Source organism: Homo sapiens, chromosome 9 (genome assembly GCF_000001405.40).
Source record: "Homo sapiens chromosome 9, GRCh38.p14 Primary Assembly".
Lineage (NCBI taxonomy): Eukaryota > Metazoa > Chordata > Mammalia > Primates > Hominidae > Homo > Homo sapiens.
This window is the reverse complement of record NC_000009.12, coordinates 82592243-82616122: the sequence shown is the minus strand read 5'-3', so window position 1 is coordinate 82616122 and position 23880 is coordinate 82592243. Positions and strand designations below refer to the sequence as shown.

Below are 23880 nucleotides of genomic sequence, written 5' to 3'. Positions count from 1 at the left end.
TTTGGAAATAGGTCCTTGAAGAGGTTATTAAATTAAAATGAGGCCATTAGGGTGGGCCCTAATCCAATCTAATCGGTGTCCCTTATAAGAGGAAGAGACACCAGGGATGACAAGCACAGAGGACAGGCCATGTGAGGACACAGTGGGAAGACACAAATCTGCTAGGCAAGGAGAGAGAAACCAACCCTACTGATACCTTGATCTTGGACTTTTAGCCTCCAAAAACTGTGAGAGAATAAATTTCTGCTATTTAAACCATTCAGTCTGTGCTATTTTGTTATGGCACCCTCAGCAAATTAACACACCATCCAAAGACCAAGATCTAATTAATTCTTGGCTAGGTTAAAAATCTAAAATTTTGTTATGGGAATGACTTGCACATCTAGAATTGTTTTAAAATGGCATTTTCAGATGGGCATAGTGGCTCATGTCTGTAATCCCAGCACTTTGGGAGGCCAAGGCAGGCAGGTCACCTGAGGTCAGCAGATTGATACCAGCCTGGCCAACACGGTGAAACCCTGTCTCTACTAAAAATGCAAAAAATTAGCCAGGCATGGTGGTGCACGCCTGTAGTCCCAGCTACTAGTGATTATCCAGAGGCAGGATAATCACTTGAACCCGGGAGGCAGAGGTTGCAGTGAGCCAAGATTGCGCCACTGCATTGCAGCCTGGGCGACACAGAAAGACTCTGTCTCAAAAAATTTTTAAAAATTAAAAAATAAAAATTTTAAAAAAGGCATTCTCAATAGAGTATCTGTTATTCCTGATGGACTGACATTGTTATGTCTACCTTTTATTCATTTATTCAGCAAATATTAATTCAGACCTTATTGTGAATCTTGCATGGTGCTAGGCACCAAGACTGATGCAAATACAGAAATAAAATATATGACATATTTAGATGACTATAATATAAGGAAATACAAAATACTTTCAAAGTAGTAAGAAACAAAGTGAAGTAGAAATTCCGAGTGCTGAGAAAGAACTTCTAGCAGGGTAAATTTGGGATGTGATACTTGCAGCAGCAGAAGTAACATTGGAAAGGAAGAAAGATATAAGGCACAAGTAGACGAAATAGCAAAAAGAAATTTTTGTCAGGCATGTAAGATTTAGAGTATCAGTTACCAAAGATAACACTGGTAGGGTGGTTCACGAGGAACAGATTAGGGAAGGTCTTGAATTCTGGGTTCAGAAGTTAACCTACATGATTATATCCATATTCTTAGCAAATTGGGAGCCAGTAAAACTGATGGCGTGTGAAACATAGTGAGGTAGCTAAGAACCCTGCCTTCAGAGTAGACAGAGCTGATTCCATCCTGAGCTCTGCCAGAACCTAGCTTTGTGGCCATGCTTAGTAGCGTTACTTAACCTCTTTACATCTCAATTTCCTAATTTGTAAAAAAGAAAAAGCAAAAACCCTACTTTTGTAGGGTTGTTGTAAAAACAAATAAAAAGCTGAATATTTATAAGATGTATCTTATGAGTATTTGGCTTTTACTTCGTGCTGGGCTTAAGCAAGTACTCAAAAAATCACCATTTCTTTTTATGATGATAAGAATGATTTAAAATTTCCTTTTGGGAAGACTAAAATTGCAATAACTTTATGAAGAAACATAAGAGCTTTTTTATTTAGTAAAATCTGTAAATCATTGTAGACATGTTAATAATATATTTTAATTTTTATATTTTTAAGATTAAATACTTTTCCTTCTGAAATTTTTAAAAAAGAAATATGAATCTAATGACCTGGTTCACCAAATAAATAGACTAGAAACAGGCAAAACTGAAAAGTAATGAGTGACTGTGTCTAGACCACGGTAAACATTCAAATGGAAACACTTGTGGGGCTGTGGTAGGCTGGGCATAATATCACTATCAAACAAGGAGATATTTGAAATATAAGGAATCTAAGCCATATTTTCAAGAATTCTTTTATTTTCTTTTATTTTAATTTGGATGTTCAGTGCCATGGGTACAGGGCCAGAGTGTTGATTGAGGAGAATTTGGAATAGGGAGAAAGTGAATTAACCATTCTGTAATCTCATAAACGTTATTGTTCTGAGAGGCAAACAAAATTCCAGGTTGGAGTGCATGTCACCCATCAAAAGAATATTATATCACTTCCTGGGTTTGGCTGTATTGCTCTTTTTCTCCTTCCTCCTATTCTTTTTTCCCTGTTCATTTGGCAGATCCTGGACATGGTGCCATCCTGTTCTCTCACCACAAGTCCAATGGCAAGCTGGAGCCTAAAAGTGACTGTGCCCAAGCTTTCAGTGCTTTTTCTCCTGGGAGAAACTTTGGAATGAGCACATCCTCTCATGACTGAAGCTGTTATTTATTAAAGCAGAGATGCATTGATGGATTCAGCAGCAGTGGACCGAAGTTGAGCTCTGCCGCAGGATGCTGAAGACCTTGTCAGATGTGGGCAGCCAGTAGACAGCTGTAAGGCAACCCTTGACCTGAGAGCTCTGCCATGGTAATTAGTGTTGTAAATGAGTCAAGCTTACAGAGGCATATGCTCAAATCTAATATAGCATCTTCCATCACTATCTTTGTGTTACGATGATCATAACTGTTTTCAGAGTGTGCTAAAAGTATTCTTAAAGAGTTACAAAGCAGTAACAAAGAAGCTAGCAACTGCCCACCGCCTTTCCCCCTCACCCAAACAACCTCCACCCTAGGTGATTTCCCAAACCCATTTGAAATAGAGATGAATTCAGGTGAGTTTCTATACCACAGCCTGATCTTTGGCTGTATAAGATTACTTTTCAACAATATAAGATGCATAAGTGCCTTTTCATCGTATGAAGAAAGCATGCCCACTGGCAAATGAATCATATTATAAAAATTGATTGTATCCCAAAAGGGAAAAATGTTATTGAAGATCCAATGGCCTGGGATGATACACCATTGATCATTGTAAGAAATACTTCCAGAAACTGTTTTTAATCTTTCCGCCAGAGCATTAGCAATTATTCTTTAGCCCATGGTGAGTAATGACTTGAGTTTCCCAGCTTCTCAATCGATAAAACATTTACCCTACCGCTACAAATGTGCTCTTCGCTTAGACAAGCAGAATTTTTCTTCCAATTACTCTTTTTTTTTTTAGTGTGACCTCATAAAATATTTTTAAACATATTTCAAGGCTCTTTTGTAAAAAAGGAAAGGAACAATACTCCTCCACGTGCTTATTTTTTCCCTTTTCCTTCTTTTGACAAAGAAGTCATGAAGATTTCATAGTTATTTAGATAGCTAAGACTGCTTTTTATCATCTCTTTCAAACTTAAGAAATGGTTTTTATCCCGCCAGCTGCTACATTTTGGAGTTGGCCAGTAATAAAACATTTCTCTTCCCCTCTCCCCTGAACAAAGCTGGTTGTCCAAATTCCTTCGAAAATCAACAACAACAAAATATAATACCACTCCTAAGGAGGCTGATATCTTCCTCCACTTTCTCTACATGCCTTATAAAACTATAGCACTGGCTAATGGAGAACAACATAAAACACACTGTTATCAGGCTAACAAATAGCTGTACAGAAAATTGGAGATTAAAGACGAATGTGCACAAGCATCTTTTGATGACTAAAAAGTTAACATTCCAGCAAGTTTTCCTTTCCAAAGAATTTATGCTGTACTTCTATTTGAAATTACAGCCTCGACTCAAGCAAAAGTGCCTACTGTTATTTCTTATCTCTATTGCTTTCTCTCTAGAACAATATCTATTTTGGCATACTTATTAAACCATGGTTGTCACACAAAGGAATTTGAAACTCCTTAAAAAAAGGCTGATTCTTGGTGGGGTTTTGCATGAAGGTTTGGTTTGTAATAACAGCCTTTTTAAAAATTAGCTTTGGAAAATTGAATCTAGTACCGACAAGGCAGATTCTTAATTCTTTCTCCAACCAAAGGTGGCTTTATAACTGTGTGTGCCTTGATCTGAGTAAACAAGGTGCAAAAGAGTGGATTTTCATCTGTTGTCACAAGTTTAAGAGGCTACTGGTAAGTAAGTGAGAATTCAGAGGCTTGTTGGTGGAATAGGCCCAGTGGTGGAAGAAGACCCAAGATGCTCTTTGACTCTAAAGTAGAAAAGGAATTATTAGGATATGTGCTTAATAACAAAAATATGAGGCAGGAGAGGAAACTGCAGACTGTTTTTTTTTTTTTTTTAGACGGAGTCTTGCTCTGTCGCCCAGGCTGGAGAGCAGTGGCCCGATCTCGGCTCACTGCAGGCTCCGCCTCCCAGGTTCACGCCATTCTCCTGCCTCAGCCTCCCCAGTAGCTGGGACTTCAGGCACCCGCCACCACGCCCGGCTAATTTTTTTTTGTATTTTTAGTAGAGACGGGGTTTCACCATGCTAGGCCAGGATGGTCTCAAACTCCTGACCTTGTGATCCACCCGCCTCGGCCTCCCAAAGTGCTGGGATAACAGGCGTGAGCCACCGCGCCTGGCCGAAACTGTAGACTTTTAAGCTCCTATTTCTGTCATCAGATTTTTGTCAGAATGAAGACATTCTAGGCTATAAACTGGGCACAGCTGGCTGAAGTAAACAATTATTAAAATATGCATTACTTGAGTTATCCACAGCTGGCTGAAGTAAACCATTATTAAAATATGCATTACTTGAGTTATCCACAGCAGGTTTGTGGTAAAATTATGGCATCAAACTAATGATAACAACTCAGGTTAGAGAATCAGAACAATTGTTTTTAAAAGATGCCACTGTGAATCTGTATTTCACAAGTTTTCTCACATGTATTTGATCAAACCTGGCAGTGCATCACTGTGTTTTGATAATTTGATCTTCTTACTTTTTTAATTCTATTCATCCATTTGGTCGGCAAACATTATTTGAGTATCTACAAAAGTGCTAGGTGTTTTACTGCACCTTTGCCCACCTGGAACTCATTGTCTACTAGGAAAGACAACATGTAGACTCTTTTGTTCTTATTGTTCCTGGTGCCTCAGAAATAAAAGTGACCTTGTGCTTTCTTTGACCCGTGAGCATTCCTGCCTGAGAGAAACGTTTTCAGGAGATGTCTTTCCAAACCTTGTATGATTTTGTCTACTCTCGAACTACTCCAACTTCCCCGCTCCCCATCCAATGATGTTTCTTCCCTCTTCATTGTTTATACCTAAAGAAATTGTTAAAGAAAAGGCCTTGGAAAAAAAAAAAGTGCATCGACAGTTAAGCATGATTTTTTTTTTTTAATGGGGAATGCACTCCTGGATTCTAACTCTTTGACACAAAAGACAGTGGTGAAGATCAAATGGGGTGATGCCCTTGAAGCATTATGCTCTCCATAAAGCACCATATAGATGTAAGGGATTATCATATTGTTACAAATATTTCGAAGAAAATGAATGCCCAGGTTGGTGATGTTCTTCCCCCAAAGGCTTGCTCACTATTGTGTAGACACAATCTTCATTCGCTATACTAAGTCAGCACCTCATGCTGTGACTTTTCTTGCATCTCCCCAGGAATGCCATATTTTAAAATGACTATTATACCATGTCATGTAGCTGCAGACCCCTAGCTGCCTCCATTTCTCTACCTGGAAGGTTAATCAAATGTAAGCATTTCCCTATTCTGTAGCAGGCATCCTGGGACATACAATTTGGGATTAGTGACTGACCCTGCTGTTCATTCTGACAGCACACACTCCAGATTGCATTCTCCTTTTAATAAGCAGAGCTGGTAGGAGAAAAGGCAAGAGTCATTAACTAAAAGTTAGCTGAGGATTGAAACACAGCACACTTTGCTTCTGAGAAGCTCTTCTGAAAGGAAACCTTTTGTCCCCAGGAACCATGTAACAGTATATCCAAGGATTTCATGATAATTTATCTTGACCTTTAGCAAAATGAAATCTTATACAATGGCTGGGTCACATATACTTTCTTGGTCACTTATCTGTTACTATATTGCTGCCATTGTTGAAGAGAATGAGCTCAGGAGAGTCACAACGGCTTATGCAATAAGCTTTTTTTACGGAGTACCATGACATACTCAAAATGTGAAGGATTAAACTTAACAGCCTAGAAGGCAGTTGCCAGGGATTCATATTTGAAACCTTTCTTGTGAGGCTACAGGTGCAACTGAGAAGTATTTCTGTGAAGGCACCTTCCTCTTCTCTTTATTCCTATTCCTGCTTTCTTGCCCCAGGGCCAAAGGTAGACATTTTCTCTCCCTCTTGGAGTCTTGGTTTCTGGGTTGCTTGATCTTATTGTGGTAAGGACACTGTGTACCAGCCCAAGGTTGGGTGACTGGAGTGTTTTTAAGCTTCTTGCTACTCAAGTAGTCTCATTCCATGCCTAGTAATATATGTTTCCCTACTTTTTTTTTTCAGGTTGATTTTTTTTTTTTTTTTTTTTTGCAGCATGATGAAAGTGAGCAAATTACTTTATATACAGTGTGAGCTAATGAGAATATTTCTAAAGAATTCAATTTAATCATGATCAATAGCTAGAGGGGTAGACAAATTCTGATCCCAGGATCAGGCAGCTGGGATGGAAAGGACAGAGCTTCCATCTATGGTTTTAAAGTTTGTGCCCTGAGCGGCTTCAAGGCATTCCTAGAGTTATGCGGTGTCTACTTGCACGGATGTACAAGGTATCCTTGTACATCTTATACTTCCCTTGTTTAGTCAGGGAAATACAGAAAGGTCAACCTTTGACTACCTTCTCTACATGTTTCATGGTCTTTCCATCATATGACTTCATCTAACATCTTTTCATCATCAAGACTGCTGTGTCAACATATTACAAAAGAGAAATGATTGGAAAATTGTTGTTTTGAAGAATATGCTTTGAGGTAGTGTGGTAGGCAGAATCCCCAAAGATATCCACACCTTAATCCTCAGCACCTGTGAATATGTTATCTTACATGGAAAAAGTGATTAAGCTAAGAATCTTGAGATGAGGAGATTTCCCTGGATTATCTAGCTGGGTCTAATTTAATCACGAGCCCTTAAAGGTAGTTTTCACAGATGTGGTCAGAGAGAGATATGACAACAGATGAAGAGTCAGAGAGATGTTACCATGCTGACTTTGAAGATGGAGGAAAAGACCATGAGCCAAGCAATGTGGGCAGCCTCTAGGAGTTGGAAAAGGCAAGGAAATGGATTTTCCCCTAGAACCTCCTGAAGAAATGCAGCATTGCTGATGGCTTGATATATAGGGCTATATTGTAGTAAATATGTGTTGTTTTAAGCCACTAAGTTTGTAACAATTTAGAACAGTAGCAATAGGAAACTAATACAGGTAGCAACCCTTCCCTCTTAATCTACTCCTCTCTTTCCTCTCTCAGCCCTCCAAGTGCTCCTGCAGATGATTAACTTAGTTTACACATCAGGACCAAAAAAGAGAATGGTTTCCAGCAGGGGTCAAGAAGGGGTAGGAACCAGATCATAAATCCTACTGTTATAGCAGGAAAATAGCTAGAAGTAATATGTAAATGAACGGGTGTGGCTGCATTCCAATAAAACTTTATTTACAGACACAGGAGGTTCACCATCGGGTCGTAGTTTGCCAACCCCCGATTTAGAGCCTTGCTAGTCAAAATGTAGTTCCCAAACCAACAGCATCCTTTGGAAGCTTGTTGGAGATGCAGAATTCCAGGACACATCTCAGACCTACTAGATCTGCATTTTAACAAGATCCTCTGGTGATCCATATGCACATTCAAGCTTGAGAAGCATTGCTCTAGAAGATTTAGCATTCTAGGGATGAAGCAAAATTATCAGAACAAATATTATTGACATCCTTGTTTCTAGCTGCAGAACACTGCTCAGGTAAGGAAGGCAGATGCCAGACCTTAAAGGAAAGAAATGATGTAAGCATTTGTTAAGCACCAGCTATGTGTGGGGCACTTTCAATGAGGTTATTCTGTTTAATCCTCACATTGACTTCATGTCATTTTCCCCAACTTTTATAGATGAGGAAATTGAAGCTTACCCAGGCTTTCTTGTGAGTGAGAGACCAGATACCCAAAGCTCAGTTGCTTGAATTCTAAAACTCAAGCTTCTTCTACCATACTATACAGAACTGTCTGTTTTCCAAAAATCATTTAATACCTGTGTCAAAAGCAATTCTTGGATTTAAAAGTTCCCAAGATGTGAGATTTAGCTGGATATGATATCACTGGAATCTTGGATGCATATGGTGCACTTTAGCCTCTATTTATAAAAGTCTTTCAAGATAGTCCACCTTTTGTTTTCTCTCTCTCTCTTTTTTTTTTTTCTTGGTTACTTTCATCGTTAGCTGAAAAACTCTTGGATGACATTCTGCTGGACAGAGTCGACTATTTAATTATCAGCAAATTGGGATCTCTTGTGGCCTACGATTTTGAGGTTAACAATAATAGTTGCTATTTTTGATTTCTAAACCATTCCCATGGCAGAACTTATGGACACAGTTACCAAATGGACATGAATTAATAAATCTCAGCCACTTCAGTCTCAGCTCTGCACCTCTCCAGTCAGCCTTTTCACATCCATCAAAGGACTGTCTGATGGAACAGATGGGCTTAGCATGAGGCCCTGAAGGACAGTTTTGGGAAAAAAGACAAGGAGAGGGATTTCCAAACTATGCACCTTCAATGGAAACACTAGAAACAGTATCTTCCCATCCAAATTTCAAATACTTAGAGACCACTGGTCCTTTTAAACTGCAGTCACAAAAAGCAGAAGATGGTATTAAATGTGGCCAGGATATATAAACTTAAGTTAGGCTCAAGCAGAAAAATGAAAGGCAGATTCGAGTTTCATGAGAAATATGGATACTGGATTCTCACATAAAATGAAAGACATTTTTAGCCTTCTCAGCTCTAGAGAAGAACTCCTTCCTTTCTGGGTAAAAATTCTAACTGCCATGGAGTGCAGTTTCCACTTCCAGCAAATGGGGTTCTGCTTATAAGACAAAGTTTAAGAGCTCACTCCTGAGCCAGGGGGCAGGGTTCTATCTACTCATTGTCATTAAGGTCCCACCTAACCTTCAGTGACTGGAAGGCTTTCAGAGCTGGGCCACCACAAGCTCCTTGCTCTTGATGATCTCTAGATTCGGGGTGCATCTCCCACCTTGCCCAAGCAAACTCAAGCTTCATTTGGCAGTTTGCTGCTTTTGTTAAAGAGCAAGCTCACTGAGGAGCAAGACGTTGGAACTCAAATTCTGGTCTCTAGATGGCAGTCTAGCCCTGCTAAATCTGACTACTCCCCTATCCTGGGTGAATTGCAGAAGCTACCGCTAAAAATAAAACCTAACCCAGGAAAATCTATAGAGGGGGCATAACAAGATTCAGATATTAATTTTTGGTTGATGGCAAGTTAATGATTGGGCTTAAGCACCAGGTTGGAAACACATGTCTATGAACATGCTAAAAATGCTGTTTGGCAGTCCTTCTAATTTGACTGCATACAATTCAAGAGCGATGAATATGAACAGCTCTACCATGGAATGAGCTCCTCGTCTGAAATGTTGCCTAATACCAGAAAGGCAAGAATGTGGCCATCACCAAATTACTAGGGCCTTTTTATGCATTGTCTATTTACATACAAAATATTTAGTCAATAAAATCTAGATGGGATAGTGAGTTTCATAAAGAACATTCACGATGTCCTGAAAATTTTCAGCAAAATGGAATGGCTGTTGGCATTGATAATGAAAGAAACCTTTTGACTGACTCATCTTTCAAATAGTTGTATTCACCTTGTGTGGATGAAGCACATGAGTTCAGTGTTGAGTTTGAGCTGGTGCTTAGCTAAACATTGTAAAATCTTGATCTGGAAGAGACCTTAAGGGTCATTTCTGTCCAACTTTTTACTGTACAGATAGAAAAGCCAAGCTCCAGACACCACGCAAGACCTGAAGACTTGGCAGCTGAGCAGACTTCCAACTGACTCCAAGAGGAGATTTGGACTTGGAATAGTGTGCACTTGGTCTTGTGTGCACAGTTTACTTCCAGTCATATGTAACTGTTATGTGTCAAAACAGCTCTCTATTAAGTGCAAATTGTAATGATACATCCAAAAGCTATTTCCATTTAGTTTGTTCATTTAAAATATGCTCTTGAAATTAAAAATAAAATACAGAACCTAGGCTATATTAGAATATCTTCTGAGTGTATCTTCTGAGTGTGAGAAGGCTTGGCTAGATGCATTAGTAAGAGCTCAGATAGGAACCTGTGTGGTGCTGCAGAAAAGACAGTGGAATGAGGGGACCAGAGACCATTGTGTAACTTTGCTGTGGGGCTGCTGGAGCACATCACTTTGCCTCAATATTCTCACCTGTAAAATGGTGATAATAAGGTTGTCCCTGCCTGCTTTGTAAAATAGCTGTAATGATCAAAGTACAAGAAGGGAGTAAAGGTACTTTGTGGAGAGCTGTACAAACAGACAGTGTAGTTTTTAACATCCCAAATAAGGAAATTTGGACCCCAAAATAAAGTATAGTAAAAAATATATAAACTGTTTTTTAATCTTTAAAAAAAATTGTCTAAGTGGAAAAAGACCACTTCTCCAATTGTATTTCATTTATATAAAATATCAAGAATAGGAAAATCCCTACAGACAGAAAGCAGATTGGTGGTTGTTACAGGTTGGGGAAGGCAGGGAGAGGAGTGAATGCTTACGTGTATGAGGTTTCCTTTTGGTGTGATGAAATTCTTTTGTAGCTAAATAAATGCAGTGGTTGTTCAACATTGTGTGTGTATTAAATGCCACTGAATTGTTCGCTTTAAAATGATTAATTTTATGTTATGTAAATAAAAATTCAAGAGGCTTGTGTGTATACATATACATATGACTTGGCTGGAGGGAGGAGTGGTCCCAGGAGTGTTTGTACAGATGATTTTATAAGTGTAATCTCAGACTCACAGGCTCCTTTATAAAAATGTGTTTCTGAAGTTTACTTTCAGTTGCTGTTAGTGTTTGCTTATCTCTATGAAACTAAGCCCAGTGGATTCTGTCCACACCAGGCCACTGGGTAATGTCCAAGGATAACATGTGCTGTGAACTCCACAGATGCTGAGACAAATGCCCTTTGGCTTCTTGGGTCCTCTGACCCTACTAACCAGTTGCTATGAGAGTTGTTTAAGACACGAGATTTAGGGGAGGAAAGCACCACTTCACTGGTCCTCTTCAGTCCAGTCTTGACAATTTACCACTGCTAGAAATTAGACTGCTGCTTGAAATAGTTTCAGATGCTGACATTTTTCCCCATAGTTGGCAAATCTTGGCTTTTGTGTGTTTAAATTTCCTCTGTGGACCTCTTCTCTGAGCTTCAAAGAGAATTGCTGTTTCATGGTATCAATTTTCTCACTGTAGGACATTGCCTTCTGATCTTTGCAAGGGTCCTGCTTCTATTCCAAACTGATGGGGGTATTTACAAAGGCTGTCAATTAATATCAAGAGTATTTTTGGACTTCATTTATCATACAAATATTGAGAAGTGAATATTAGTCACCAACATGTTTCTATATGTATATGAATAATGGGATATTACATACACAATTTGAGGTGCAAAAATTTCACAGAATGACTTACTTGATATTTTCCATGAATCATTTGTTAGACTGAAAAATAGATTTTATTTTGTTAGACAAAATAAAAACAAAACAAAAAATACCCCAAATCTAGCTTCTATTAGATATCATAGAATCGCAGAATATCAGTGCTGCAATGGACTTTTCTATGCATCCATCCAGCCAATTAGGTGATGTTGAATATATCTCAGTAAGGCCTATCAGATTGTTTGCTCTAAGCTTGATGAGGAGTATTTGAGCATTAGAAAGTTCTTCCCTAAATTGAGCCACATTTTATCACCCTATGACTTCTATTACCTAGTCTTGAATATATTACTTGGAGACATTCAGGATAAGTCAAATGTGTCTACCACATGATAGATTTTAAATTATAAAAAGCAATGTTTTCCTTTTTATTTAGGCTAAACATACATAGTTCTTTCAACTGACTCTATTTGCAAAGCTTGAAATTCCTTCATTGTCTTGTCATTAACCCCTGTACAGACTTATGTTTACTCATGTCTCCATGATAATCTGATAACCAGAATAGAATACTGTACATGAAGTATATATAAAGTATACAATGGAGAGGTTAGGATCATCTTTGTAGACTGTATAGTTTTTTGAAGGCAACCAAGTTAATATTTAATGTTTAATATAATTGTGTCTTTGTGTCAGTTATGGGAAAATTTTAATTATTGAATGTGACTGCCAAGGTTGAAGTTTGGGAAATCTAGAGACGTTTTAAAAATAACAACCCATAGCTTAAAAGAATATCAGGAGAGGGAATAAGAGAACTTACGATCATGGAGCCCCTACAGTGCACCTGCTAATGGGGTTGGCATTTTCTACATTTTTGGGGTAGGGGTTAAGATTTACTTGGACCTTAAACTTGAGCTCAGAGAACACCTCCTCTGTGAGGCAGTCCCTGATTATCTCTTCCTGCTTATAATACCTCATACAGGCCTCTTCTATTGAACTGTTCACCCTACATATAATTATTGTTTACATGCCCACTTTCTCCACTAAACTCCTTTACAAGCTCCTTTACAGCACCTGATGTATAACTGGACTCTCATGTGTATTGAATGAATTAATACATGTTAGTCTTTCATTAGTACATCCCAAGTGGCTATTAATTAAGAGGAGGAATCATGTTATCAACTGGAATTCCCTTAGCAAAGCCTTAGATGATCACAGCTTTAAAATGTGTAGTTTTACTCATATATTAGTTCACTGCTCTCATTAAAGACATGCAACATTTTATTTGATAATCCAAAGATAATTTGTTCATAAAAATCATATTTTAGCTTCATTTTTTAAAAAGCTAACAATTGTTTATATCTTTATTTCAAAATTAGATTTGGAATCTGTATATAAATATACATATAGGCTCTGATATGGTTTGGCTGTGTCCCCACCCGAATCTCATCTTGGGAAGCCCCTCGCATTTGGTTCTCATTCTGTCTTGCCTGCTGCCATGTAAGACATACCTTTCACCTTCCACCATGATTGGGAGGCCTTCCCAGCGACGTGGAACTGTGACTCCATTAAACCTCATTTTCTTTATAAATTACCCAGTCTCGGGTATGTCTTTATCAGTAGTGTGAAAATGGGCTAAACAGGCTCCGAATCTAATACATGTATATTTTTCCTTTTGGACACATATCTAATTACAGAAAGAAAAGATTTTTAAAGTTTAGCCATTTCATTATAGGATCTGTCAAATAGAAAACAACAATTGTCTGTAGATGTTCAATTTAACACACTTAATTTTGTAGAATGATTGGTTTTCATTGTGTATCCATCGCTATAGTATTTATTGGTGGAAAACGGGCGATTATAATCCCAAGTCTTCAAAAATGCGCAAAGCAAACAAACAAGCAAATGAACATTAATGCATGGTGTTAAGTGAAAATTTTCAGAACAAAAGCTTTCTTTGTCATAAGAAGCTGACATTATCTTTTGGGACACATATTGCTTCTACATAAGGTTGTTCTCAATTGTGTACAGACCTCCATAGTAAACTCTGGGTACCTGGTCATCATATAGTTGAATCACCATGGGGAAGAAAATACCATCTGGCAAGCGGGGGAGTTCAAAGAAATAACTTGCAGAATATTGTAACTCTCGATGCTCTTTAAGATGGACTATCCTACTCAGTGCAGTGGGAGGGCAGTGGCATAAAGGGCCAGTCTGAGTTTCCTTGTCTCCGGAAGCTTGTCCTATTTTGACATCTATTCCTGGAAACTTCAGGCATATTCAAGTCTCTAGAGTTGGGTTTCTCCAAATGACTTTCCACCTGGGTATTTATAAGCCAGGAGCCAGTTGTCCTTCACCTGATGGAATATGTCTGCCACAGTTTCATTTCCATCTCAGAACTGTTTTCCTCTAAGGGAAAAATTCTGAGGTAATGTTATCTATAATTCAAACTTCATAGAAACTTTTGAATCCAGGTTGTCATCATATTACTAATTTAATCTGTTTATATTTTAAACCCCTACCCACTTCCAAAAATGATCTGAGACTTCTAATGCCTACAAAAATCTTATTTTACACAGGAAAAAAGTGTAAAAATTCTGCAACCTAAAATATCTTCAATTCAGTTTTTATTGCATCTTACTCCAGAAGCAGAGCTGTAAAATATCTAAATTTAAATCCTTTTTAGAAAACGTGAGGATTTTCCAGTGTGGGTGGCAGCTTCGTTCACTATGATGTCCAGCCATCAGAAAGCCCAAAGAATTCAAACTGGTTCAAATGAAGTTCAAACTTTAAAAATATATAAATAATTAAAGACCAACCCAACATCTGCTTTTTTCCATTCTTACTTCCCCCAACTCTTTCTTCTCCTGTTTCATTGCCTTTCACAGCCAAATCATGGTTTGAGAAAATAAATACTTGCAGACTCGATCTTATCTCCTGAAGTAATAATAGCTGATTTTGAAGTCATAGAGAATTCCTGGAGTCTATCTCATGGTCTGTTGAGGAGAACTCTTGGCTTCTGAAAAGAGCTAAGAGTAGGTATAGTTTGACCCACTGGGAATACTGGAACCTTAAAATAAAAATATTGAATGTATATACAAAATAATAGGCAAATTCATTCTCTCCACATTGGCCCAGGAGCAACTACATTCCTATTGCTGCCTCATCTTGAACTAGGCCCATGTGGCTGTAATAGACCGGTGCATCTGTTTAACATCAACAGAAAGCAAACAGAAGGGCTGTCATCTCTTCCAGTTTGAAACAGATAAAAACAGTGAATCTACAAATGGCAAGCTCATAAGTGCTTTCCTGTGGGGAGAAATCCTGAAGGGGTCTCTTGCTCCAGGAGCAGCGTGGAGGAGACTTTGAAGCAGGAATACCACCCCACCCTCACCCACTCACCCATGTCCGTTTATTTTGGACATGCTACAGTAAATCCTCCCCAAGACATGCGCTGCTCGTGTTTCATGGTGAGCAAACACAGCTTCCTTTTGTTTGGTGATATTCTCCTGCTCGCTGACCCTTGGATTTGTACTACCCTTCAAAGAAAGGGGCCATGTGGGGGGCTTTGTTTGTGTTTACCAGCTTGTGATGATGCTCATTTCTGACTAGAAACCCACTCTGTTTGGATAGTGGGGCTTCTACTGAGTAAACCTGGCTGCAGGCAGTGGAGTGTACAGATACAGCTCTCCAAAGTCTGCGAAGGGCCAACTGTGGAGGCCTCTCTGGGACAGTTCTGGGATACTGCAGTTGCTTACACAGCTTCCCCAGCTTATTGCAGGAACTCCTGGAGTGTCAGGAAGAATACCTCCATCTGTAATATGCTGAGTTATAAAGTAAGTGGTTAGGGTGGCTAAGTCTGTTGTTATCTCCCAATCTCCACTTCTGGGCAATTGTGAAGCCATCGGAGTGTGTTGGGTTAACTTGTCAGTCCTCCAGGCTGCCACAGTGAACCCGGTGGTCATAATCCCCTGGATGGTTCAGGTGAGTTCCCGGTCTTCCAGGATAAGCCTGCCTCCCTGCCTGTAAGGAAATCTCATCCACCGTGCTATGTGGAGATGTCTGCAGCTCCTGCTTAAGCCTCCCTTTGTGCCCTGATCACCTTAAATTCAAGCCTGACTAAAGAATAAGAAACCAAGGGAAATAACATTTATAATGATAATAATTAATTGTTAATAGATGGATGGGCTGTCTTATACCTATGGCTTGCAGTATGGAGAGGAAGTGAAATAATAACACTAAACAAAACAGCAGGATAGAAGGAAAACCTGAAGAAGCGATTGTTTTGAAATGAATTCCAGGAGGAGAAAATGACTAATGTAAATACTGAATAGAATCTAATTCTATTCTCTAGGCTGGTATGCAAAAGTCCAAGGTCTGAAAAGCACACGGGGGATCTACCTTTAAGGTTCTTATTCTGTCCAGGCAAGCCCTCATTATGTGGATGATATGTTAATACCATACCCACATGTCAGGTATAGAAAGCTGGGATGGAGAAGGAAAATAAGCCTGAATTAAACCACCTCAGGATGATAGTATGTTAATACTGTACCCTCAAATCAGGTATAGCAAGCTAACAGTGAGAGGAAAATAGCCTGAATTAAGCCACATCAGCATGGAGACCTTTTTCATTGCTATCTCTGTATTTATGTGTTGCATGTCTAAAAACACAATGGGAAGTACCATACATTTTTCATGGTGCTTCAGAGATTGCTATAGCCAAGGCTCTACCGAAGCTAAATAAGAAAATATTCTAATTTCCTATTTTTTCAGCCAAATACAGTAGTTATTTCAGAGGTCATTGAGAAGGAGGGCAGGTATATTTGCATTATGCCTGTGGATCTGTTGCCAAGCACATCATCTTTCTGTTGACATAAGAGCCAGCTTTGTCTGACAGCACAGACATCAAAGCCCCCACATGGAAAAACAGCCCCAAATTTGGAAGAGGCTTTTTCATAATTTCTAACCATTTCATTATGGTATTAAGGTGCATTAATTGCTTCACAGTCATGTGGATATAGGGTTGTATTCATTGACTTAAGTTGACAACTTCCTTTTTGCTAAAGCTAGTTAGGAAAAAGCACTTCAAATGGGTTTCTAATGATCTCATAAACACTGTGTTTCTTCTGATTGCTAAGTAGCTTCCTTTCCTTTCTTCTCTTTTTAATTCTCAGCTTCCAGTTCCTCTTCATTATGGTTATGAACAGCTGAACTTAGGCTCTGAATTGTTATTTTCCTAGTCTTCTCAGAAACATGACGACTTTATCAGTGATTATGGACAGAAGGATGAATTGTCACTGAGCTAGAGGGAGCCAGTTACAACTTAGATTCCAACTATAATTGAAGAACTTGTTTTTGGACCAATGGCAATAAACTTTCTTAATAAACATGTGGATGGTGCCATGTTCCAAAAGAAATGGCAAAAACAAAATTACTTAAAAACTTCAAGTTTTATATTTAATGAGTAGCTATTGTACACCAGAAGGAAACTGAAAAGCTACATCTGCCTGAAAAAAGGAACATATTTGAAAGCCAGTAAATCTGGTATTTTAAATTCCTGAATGCCAAATTGAATTGACTACATCCACGATCTGCTCAGGTGGGAAGTAAACTCCTGTTAAAGATCTTTTGGTGACCTGGGGTGGGTATGGTATTTAAAGAAAGAGCAGATGAGTTTGTAACCATGTAATACACAGCCCCCACAAGCTGCTATATCTAAACTACCACCAAATACTAAGAGAAATTAATGCCACGGGCAACCAAGTACTGCAGATGCTCTTGCAGCCCTCTGTTCTGCACCAATTTAGGCAGAGAAGAAGCCCTCAATTAGAGGTCTGCTCGTGGAATTAAATTAGCAGGACTAGCAGGACAATCAGAGTTGAAACACATGGCCAGCCACTTTAAGACCTTTATTTTTCATTCTTCTTTGTAGATACAACTAAAAATAAAATTAGTGAAAAGAGCATGGCATCTGTTTTATTAAAGGAGTTTCCCATGTATCTTTGTAAGAGATTGTTTTTCTAACAATACACACTTTCTTCCAAGTTTCTATGATATTTACACAGAATCTACTGAGGATTAAATGTTTTCTAAGAACTTAGCATTTCCTGTCAGAGTTTTAGACAATTCCTTGGAACAGCTGTGGACAGAAACCTAGCTACTCCTGTCGCGAATGACCTCCAGTGTTTGGAACATAAAGAGCAAACAAACACTTACTCCAAGAATCGCAGTCCTGGACAGAATATGAACTTTGCTGTGTTTTACCTTCTCACAGCAATGTACTGGAAATTAATTTGGTAGTTACCTGACCACTAGCTGTTCTAGAAAATGTAAGCAGATGTGCAATCCAATCAGCAATTCCCAGGACTTACACACACACACACACACACACACACACACAGACACACACACATGCACACAGAGGGATAAAATACTAATGGATGCTAGTAAAAGAGTAGGGAGATCAGTTTAAATTTAAAACTATGTGCTTCATTTTTTCCCCCCATGAATGTTTATTTTACCTTTTAGGTCACTGGTTTCCATAAATTCCCTGTGTCTTAGCAGCATAGAGGATATTTTTAAACATAGCTCTTATGCTGGAGTGTACATTAAATATTTGTTCAGCTGATTAAAACAGTTCTACATTTATTTAATGTTTGAACAGTAAACAGTTTATTGAAAACTGAAATGTCTTTTTATACATACACGTATGCTCACACAGACACACCTCTCAATAAGCGGGGCTTCTCCTATGAGGTCTCTCCACTTAGATACTACTGAGTATAAACAGCCCTCATATCAAAACCCTTTTCGGACACAAGTTATCTTCCAGGGAGGGCTGGATTTCTGGCAGGGCTGGTCCAGGTTTCGGGTGAGCAGCCAGAGTGAGTGGGCAGGAGTGACGGTAACCGGGGACGGTGAATGGCTTAAAACCAGAATAAGAGTTTTATGCTGACAGAGACACTTATCTTAAGGAAAAAATATATATGGTCTCAGATATTAAAGACAGCTCAGAGGCAGCCTCGGTGGTAACATTCTCTGCCCTTTACCCTGGTTCATTAAAACAAAGGTATTTTGACCTCAGATAAACTGAGAAAGGTTGAGATTACTTTGAAGAAGACAAACAAACAGAAGATAAACTTTGCTGTAGCGATTTTGCTTTATCATCTGTGGAGCCTGGGTGAACCAGAGAGGAAATAGTCACACTGTTTATGCTAGCGTCTGCAATCTCCCATCCCAAGGAGATTGTACGTATTACCCTATTCATTCTCATCATATGTCTGCTTAACAAGGCACGTGTGTTCTATCAGTATGCTGTGTTATCAAGCATGGTGCTGTGGGGTGTAGTGGTTAAATAAGACTATTGGCTTTTCTCATATATGGACTGCCAACTTTGAGGGTTAAATTGCGGCATTTTAAAATTCTGTAATATTATCAGCTATATGGAGTATAATTTAATCTCTTATTACTTGCCAAGTTTTTAATATTATGTAATACTCCAGATTCTGCATTCTGAAGAAATATCATTCATTGTAGCATTAGTTTGTAAATTCACAGTTAAATGAGCTCTCATTTTAGAAGTAGGCAAATATGTGTGACAGAATAGTCATTGATTTATTGTGTGACAACACATTAAAAACATGACCTTGAGCTAGAAGTCCATAAATGGAGAAATGGTTAAAGCATGAGGCAAAAATAAAGTGGAATATTATGTAGTGCTTAAAAGGAATGAGGTGAATTAATGTGTGCTGACATAAGGGCATGCCTAAGATACAGTTTTAATGAAAAAAAAAGCAAGTTGTTGAACACTGTGTCTGGTAAATGCCATTTTTTGCTATAAAGAAGACAAATACATTCATACATCTACATGCTTTAGAGACATGGAACATTTCTGGAAAAATAAAAAAGAGACTGATAATAAATGGTCACAGGTGGAAAGTGAACATGTGGCAGGATGAGGCTTTAACTTTTTACATTATGCTATCTGACCTATTTGACTTTTAATATACAACTTATAAAATCTATGCAATATAGCTTATAAAATTACTAAAATTATGTAAGTCAATTTATATGTTTATAATTTAAAAATCTAGTTCAAAATTAATGTTAACCAGTAAGAACTTACTTCATATACTGAAATAAGCACCTCTCTTTACCAACAAGTTTCAAAAAGGCCATTTGTTCATGAGTCCAAAGTGACATTATACAGGTGACCAATCGTAGGTTGGTCAAGGCAGATGGGCTGTAGAAATTCTAATTACAGATTTTTGTTGCTTTGGGGTTCTCTTAAAATTCTTATACAACAATGTTTACAGTTTGGCTTCCTTTTTTCATTATAACTTAATATAATTAACTTTTTATTGGGCATCCTCAACTCATTAGGGATAAGAACGTGAAACAATTTCATTTTTCCAAGCACTACTTAACCATATTCTGCCCAAATGACAATGAAGATCCCTTAATGACATTTTAGAAAGCTTGGTGGTTTTCCAGGCCCTTTAATCAAAGTCTGGCTTATAACTGGTTGGTGTTTGGAAAGGCTACTAAGAAAGAGATTAGAGAATTCTCTTCTCAGATTTTATCTTAGTTCCTCCCTTAAGTTTAGTGCTACCTCTAACATTAGACATACCCTGAGTTGAATTTGTACCAGCCCTTCCCTTTCAAGGACCTGATTCCTACAATGCTAAAGTATAGGAAAGACACTGGGGGAAAAGGGCACCCATCTCTTGATGTTTATCCATGGCCGATCTTTTTCTGTGGGTTGTTGTTGCTTCTCTGGCCAACGCTGGTTGGCCTCAGCACCCAGTCATCCACATACCTAGGGTGCACGTGTAAGTTTTTGCAGGGCCCTTTGGGGCTCCACACATCTCCTTGTCTTCTTCCACCCTCCACCCATCAACGAGCTGCTGTTGTTGTCAGTACACACCACAGCTGCTAGCTTCTGGCATTCTGTTTGCCTGTCAGACAGACTTCTCACCCTGCAAGTTGACCCTGGTCCAGATATCTTCTTCAGTGTTCACCAAACTCAGAGGAAACATCAGCCTCTTTGCCAAGCCCAATAATAGGAAGGCTGGCTGCTCCACTACCTCCCCTTCTCTTCAACCTCTCATCTCTCAATTCATGTTTCCCTAGTTCAGCAAAATAAAGGGCAGAGCAGCAAGTCCACTACCTAGGCCATGTCTATAAGGAGAATGATGTGCAGGGTCTTGTCTTTGCAGGCATCCCCATTCATTTTAAGTGACTCTCTTTGAGGACTCTTCACTTGGCTTTAAGACAGCAGAAAAATAAAAAAAAAAACTTCTTAACACGAAAACATAATATTCGCAAAGCTGCTGCCACCACTGATTCTCATAACTTTCTCTCTCTTCCCCTTCCCCCAGCCTTTTCCTTAAATTTGCAGTTAGGAGAATGGGAGCTGGGGTGAAGGATGGGGTTGTAGCACCTCGTATTTTTAGGTGACTCTTAGAAAGGTCGGGTAGCTGGTTGGTTCCACTTGTTGATGGTTCTTTAAAAGGTAGAGTTGTTAGCTTTTCTTTGGCTTCAGCTTTGAACTCCAGCTGATTGAAAATTGCCATTCAACATGCATTTACATTCATCTGTTAAAAGACACTCCTTCAGGATCAAGACAGTAGCCAAGACTTAATAGTCCAAACGCAATTGGCATTGCTATCTAATGGTGATAAGAAGAGTCGTGCCTTTGGTACATAGCATTGCTCACATCCATGAAAATTTGTAAATTGAAACCTTTGTAATTTGAAAGAGAGTAACTTCTATACTTATTTATTCAATGGACTATTATGCCAGCCCCTGCCCATGTTACAGGAGTTAGAGATGAATGGGAGGGATAAAGTCAAGCCATTTTGTCCTTAAGAAGCATAATATCAAGTCACCTGTTGTGTACTGTTTTACAAAACAAAGCAGTAAATGCCGAGGGGAAGCAGAATAAAGGGGCAATCTGAATCCATGGAAGTAGATACGTAGGACTTTAATAGAGCAAATGAGTTTGGTTGGTGTTTGGAGAGGCTACTAAGAAAGAGATTAGACCCTTGGTTTTTAAATGTGTTTGGTAGCACCTACACCTACACAGGAGAACTCAGGTAATTACTGTAAAATGGCAAGGAGAGCAATGGGGGCCTCAAGAGACAGAGATGAAAGCCCCCCATTCCTGTTTAAACAGAATAGTTCTGCTTTTACCCATTTGATGAAATCAATTTCTATCTACAATTCCATTTTCTGAAAGGATTTGCAGGTTTAAAAATGTGGAAACTACTGAGTTATGGGATAGTAAGGCACTAGATGCATAGCAAAGGGTGTAGGTGCAGATAGATTAGTCGAGTCCTGAGCATCACGTTCAGGAATAATGAAATGAGGGGAAGAGCAGCAGGGTGTTGACGGGGGAGGTAAATTGACAAAAAACTTGAAAGACTGACTTGAAGGGTTTCGATTTGAAAACTTACACTGCAGGAGGATTTTGTATAAAGAATTAGAAAAGTAATATTTAAGGAAGATTATTCTAGCTGTACATGACATGTCTGTTTGAATGTATGTGTCTGTGTGTGCCAACATGGGTCCCAGTGGGGACTCAGTCTATAATCTTCCCACTGCAGCAGATGTTGATGGTAAAAATCAGGAAATCAAACCAGTAGCTCTAACTTCTACTCTGTTCTGTCTCTTGAGTCTAGTTTCTAACCAAGGTGAATCCCTAAAGCTGCTTTGCCTTGAGTCATGTATTTTAGAACAGGATGTCTCACTTTCCAGAACTCCTCAATTGAGTCTAAGACAAGGTCTCCTTCCCTCCTCTGCGATGGCCAACTGCCCCACCTCCTTCTCACCCCCCACCCTCTTAGAAAGGGGGCTACGTCATAAAAACAGGAAATCTTTTCAGGCTATAACCAAAATGAGCCGCTTAAAGTAATCTCATTGCTGCCAAATGTTCAGCAAAGCCTCAGCAGTGTTTAGGAGGAACCTTGCCGAATCCCTCAAGTAATGATGTTGAAAGCCACAGGATGCTGTGAGCTTCGCCACAGGGAGCCTTCTGACACATTTTGGCAGATGGCAGTGTACATGCCTCTTTTATGCACAATGCTTCTCTAAATTAAAGATGATTTTTCAAAAACAATTCTCTTAAAGAAGGATAGAGTGAAGAAAACCTCACATGTACCCAGCTGTAGACGGCCTCATATTTACATAAGTCATGAGGAAATTAAAAGTCGCGGTGCCATGGTATGTTTTTTAATAAGTCTTAAGAATGTTAAATACTGAGAAAAATTAAGTTTTCACCTTCTACCGAGGTGAGAATTCTCTGAGGCCTGGGGAACTAGCAACCTAGAATTTTAACACCATCTTACATCATTAGAATGATAAAATGACCATCCCCCAATTTGATCTGTGAATAAAATAGTTTAAGTATACACTTATTATTTTTTGTTAATTACACCTACTTTTTGTTCATGCTCAGAATTTAAAATAATGAGAAATCTTTGCCTATGAATTCAGCTTTGGCAATTAATCCAAAGGCTCAAAATAGAGCTTAGTGCCTGGGTATCCAAGAGCTGACTGACAACTAGTTCTTATAATGGCTAATTCTGTCAACAACCAGATGTTTCATACAAAATGTTGACATTTCAAAAACTGTTGTTCCACCGAGTCAACCAGATTGACTGGCAGTTTGGTTGTCACAGACCCAGTACATACTTTTTTATTGAGCGTCTGTATTGTTTTTATTTATTTATTTTTTGAGAGCTTATAGATGAACTAGGACACACATGTCGTCATCTGAAATGCCCTCAGTCCCAACACTTATCCACTGTGTTTCTTGTGTCTCCTCATTTGCATTCTGAAATGTGATACCTATTTCCAATTGACCTCACCAAGGTAATCTGAAAAGATGATGCATTTCAAGAGCCAAACACAAGTGGATAGCTCAAAATCTCCACCATTCCTCTATTTAACAAATGTATTCAGTGCAAGGCACTGTCCTAGGACCTCTGGGAAAGGCACAGGTGTAGAAAACCTGATTCAGTTTAGTTGAACTTAGAATTTGGTGGGGGGATGTGGGAGGGTGGTGGATACAGAGCTATGCATAGAATTTAGGAATAAAGTGGAAAGTGCTCTGATGTAATATCAACAGTCAACATTTATTGCATATTCTCTATAGAACAGACATTTGGCTAAATGCTTTACATCCATTATCTCACTTGATCATATCAACAACACCACAAGATCGATTTTATTTTACTCATTTTATAGAAGTGGAAACCAAGACTTAGAAAGTTTAAAACGTGCTAGGTGTCACACAGCTATAACAGTCAGAGGCTGAACTAGTACTTAAGTCCAGATCTTTACATTTTAAAGGCCTTTGCTCATAATGAACACACTTTACT

At 38.7% G+C, this 23880-nt stretch overlaps 2 long non-coding RNA genes across 2 annotated transcripts in view; one reads left to right on the top strand and one right to left on the bottom strand.

Annotated features, from left to right (window-relative positions):
- LOC107987087 (uncharacterized) overlaps positions 1-23880 on the bottom strand; it is a 288244-nt gene that overhangs the window by 164073 nt on the left and 100291 nt on the right. The gene's annotated exons all lie outside the window — the stretch shown is intronic.
- The window catches only part of LOC105376110 (uncharacterized), a 72772-nt gene continuing 63287 nt past the window's right edge, over positions 14396-23880 (top strand). The window contains exon 1 of the long non-coding RNA XR_001746780.2: positions 14396-14967. This is a non-coding gene — a long non-coding RNA (uncharacterized LOC105376110). The remainder of the gene's footprint in view (positions 14968-23880) is intronic.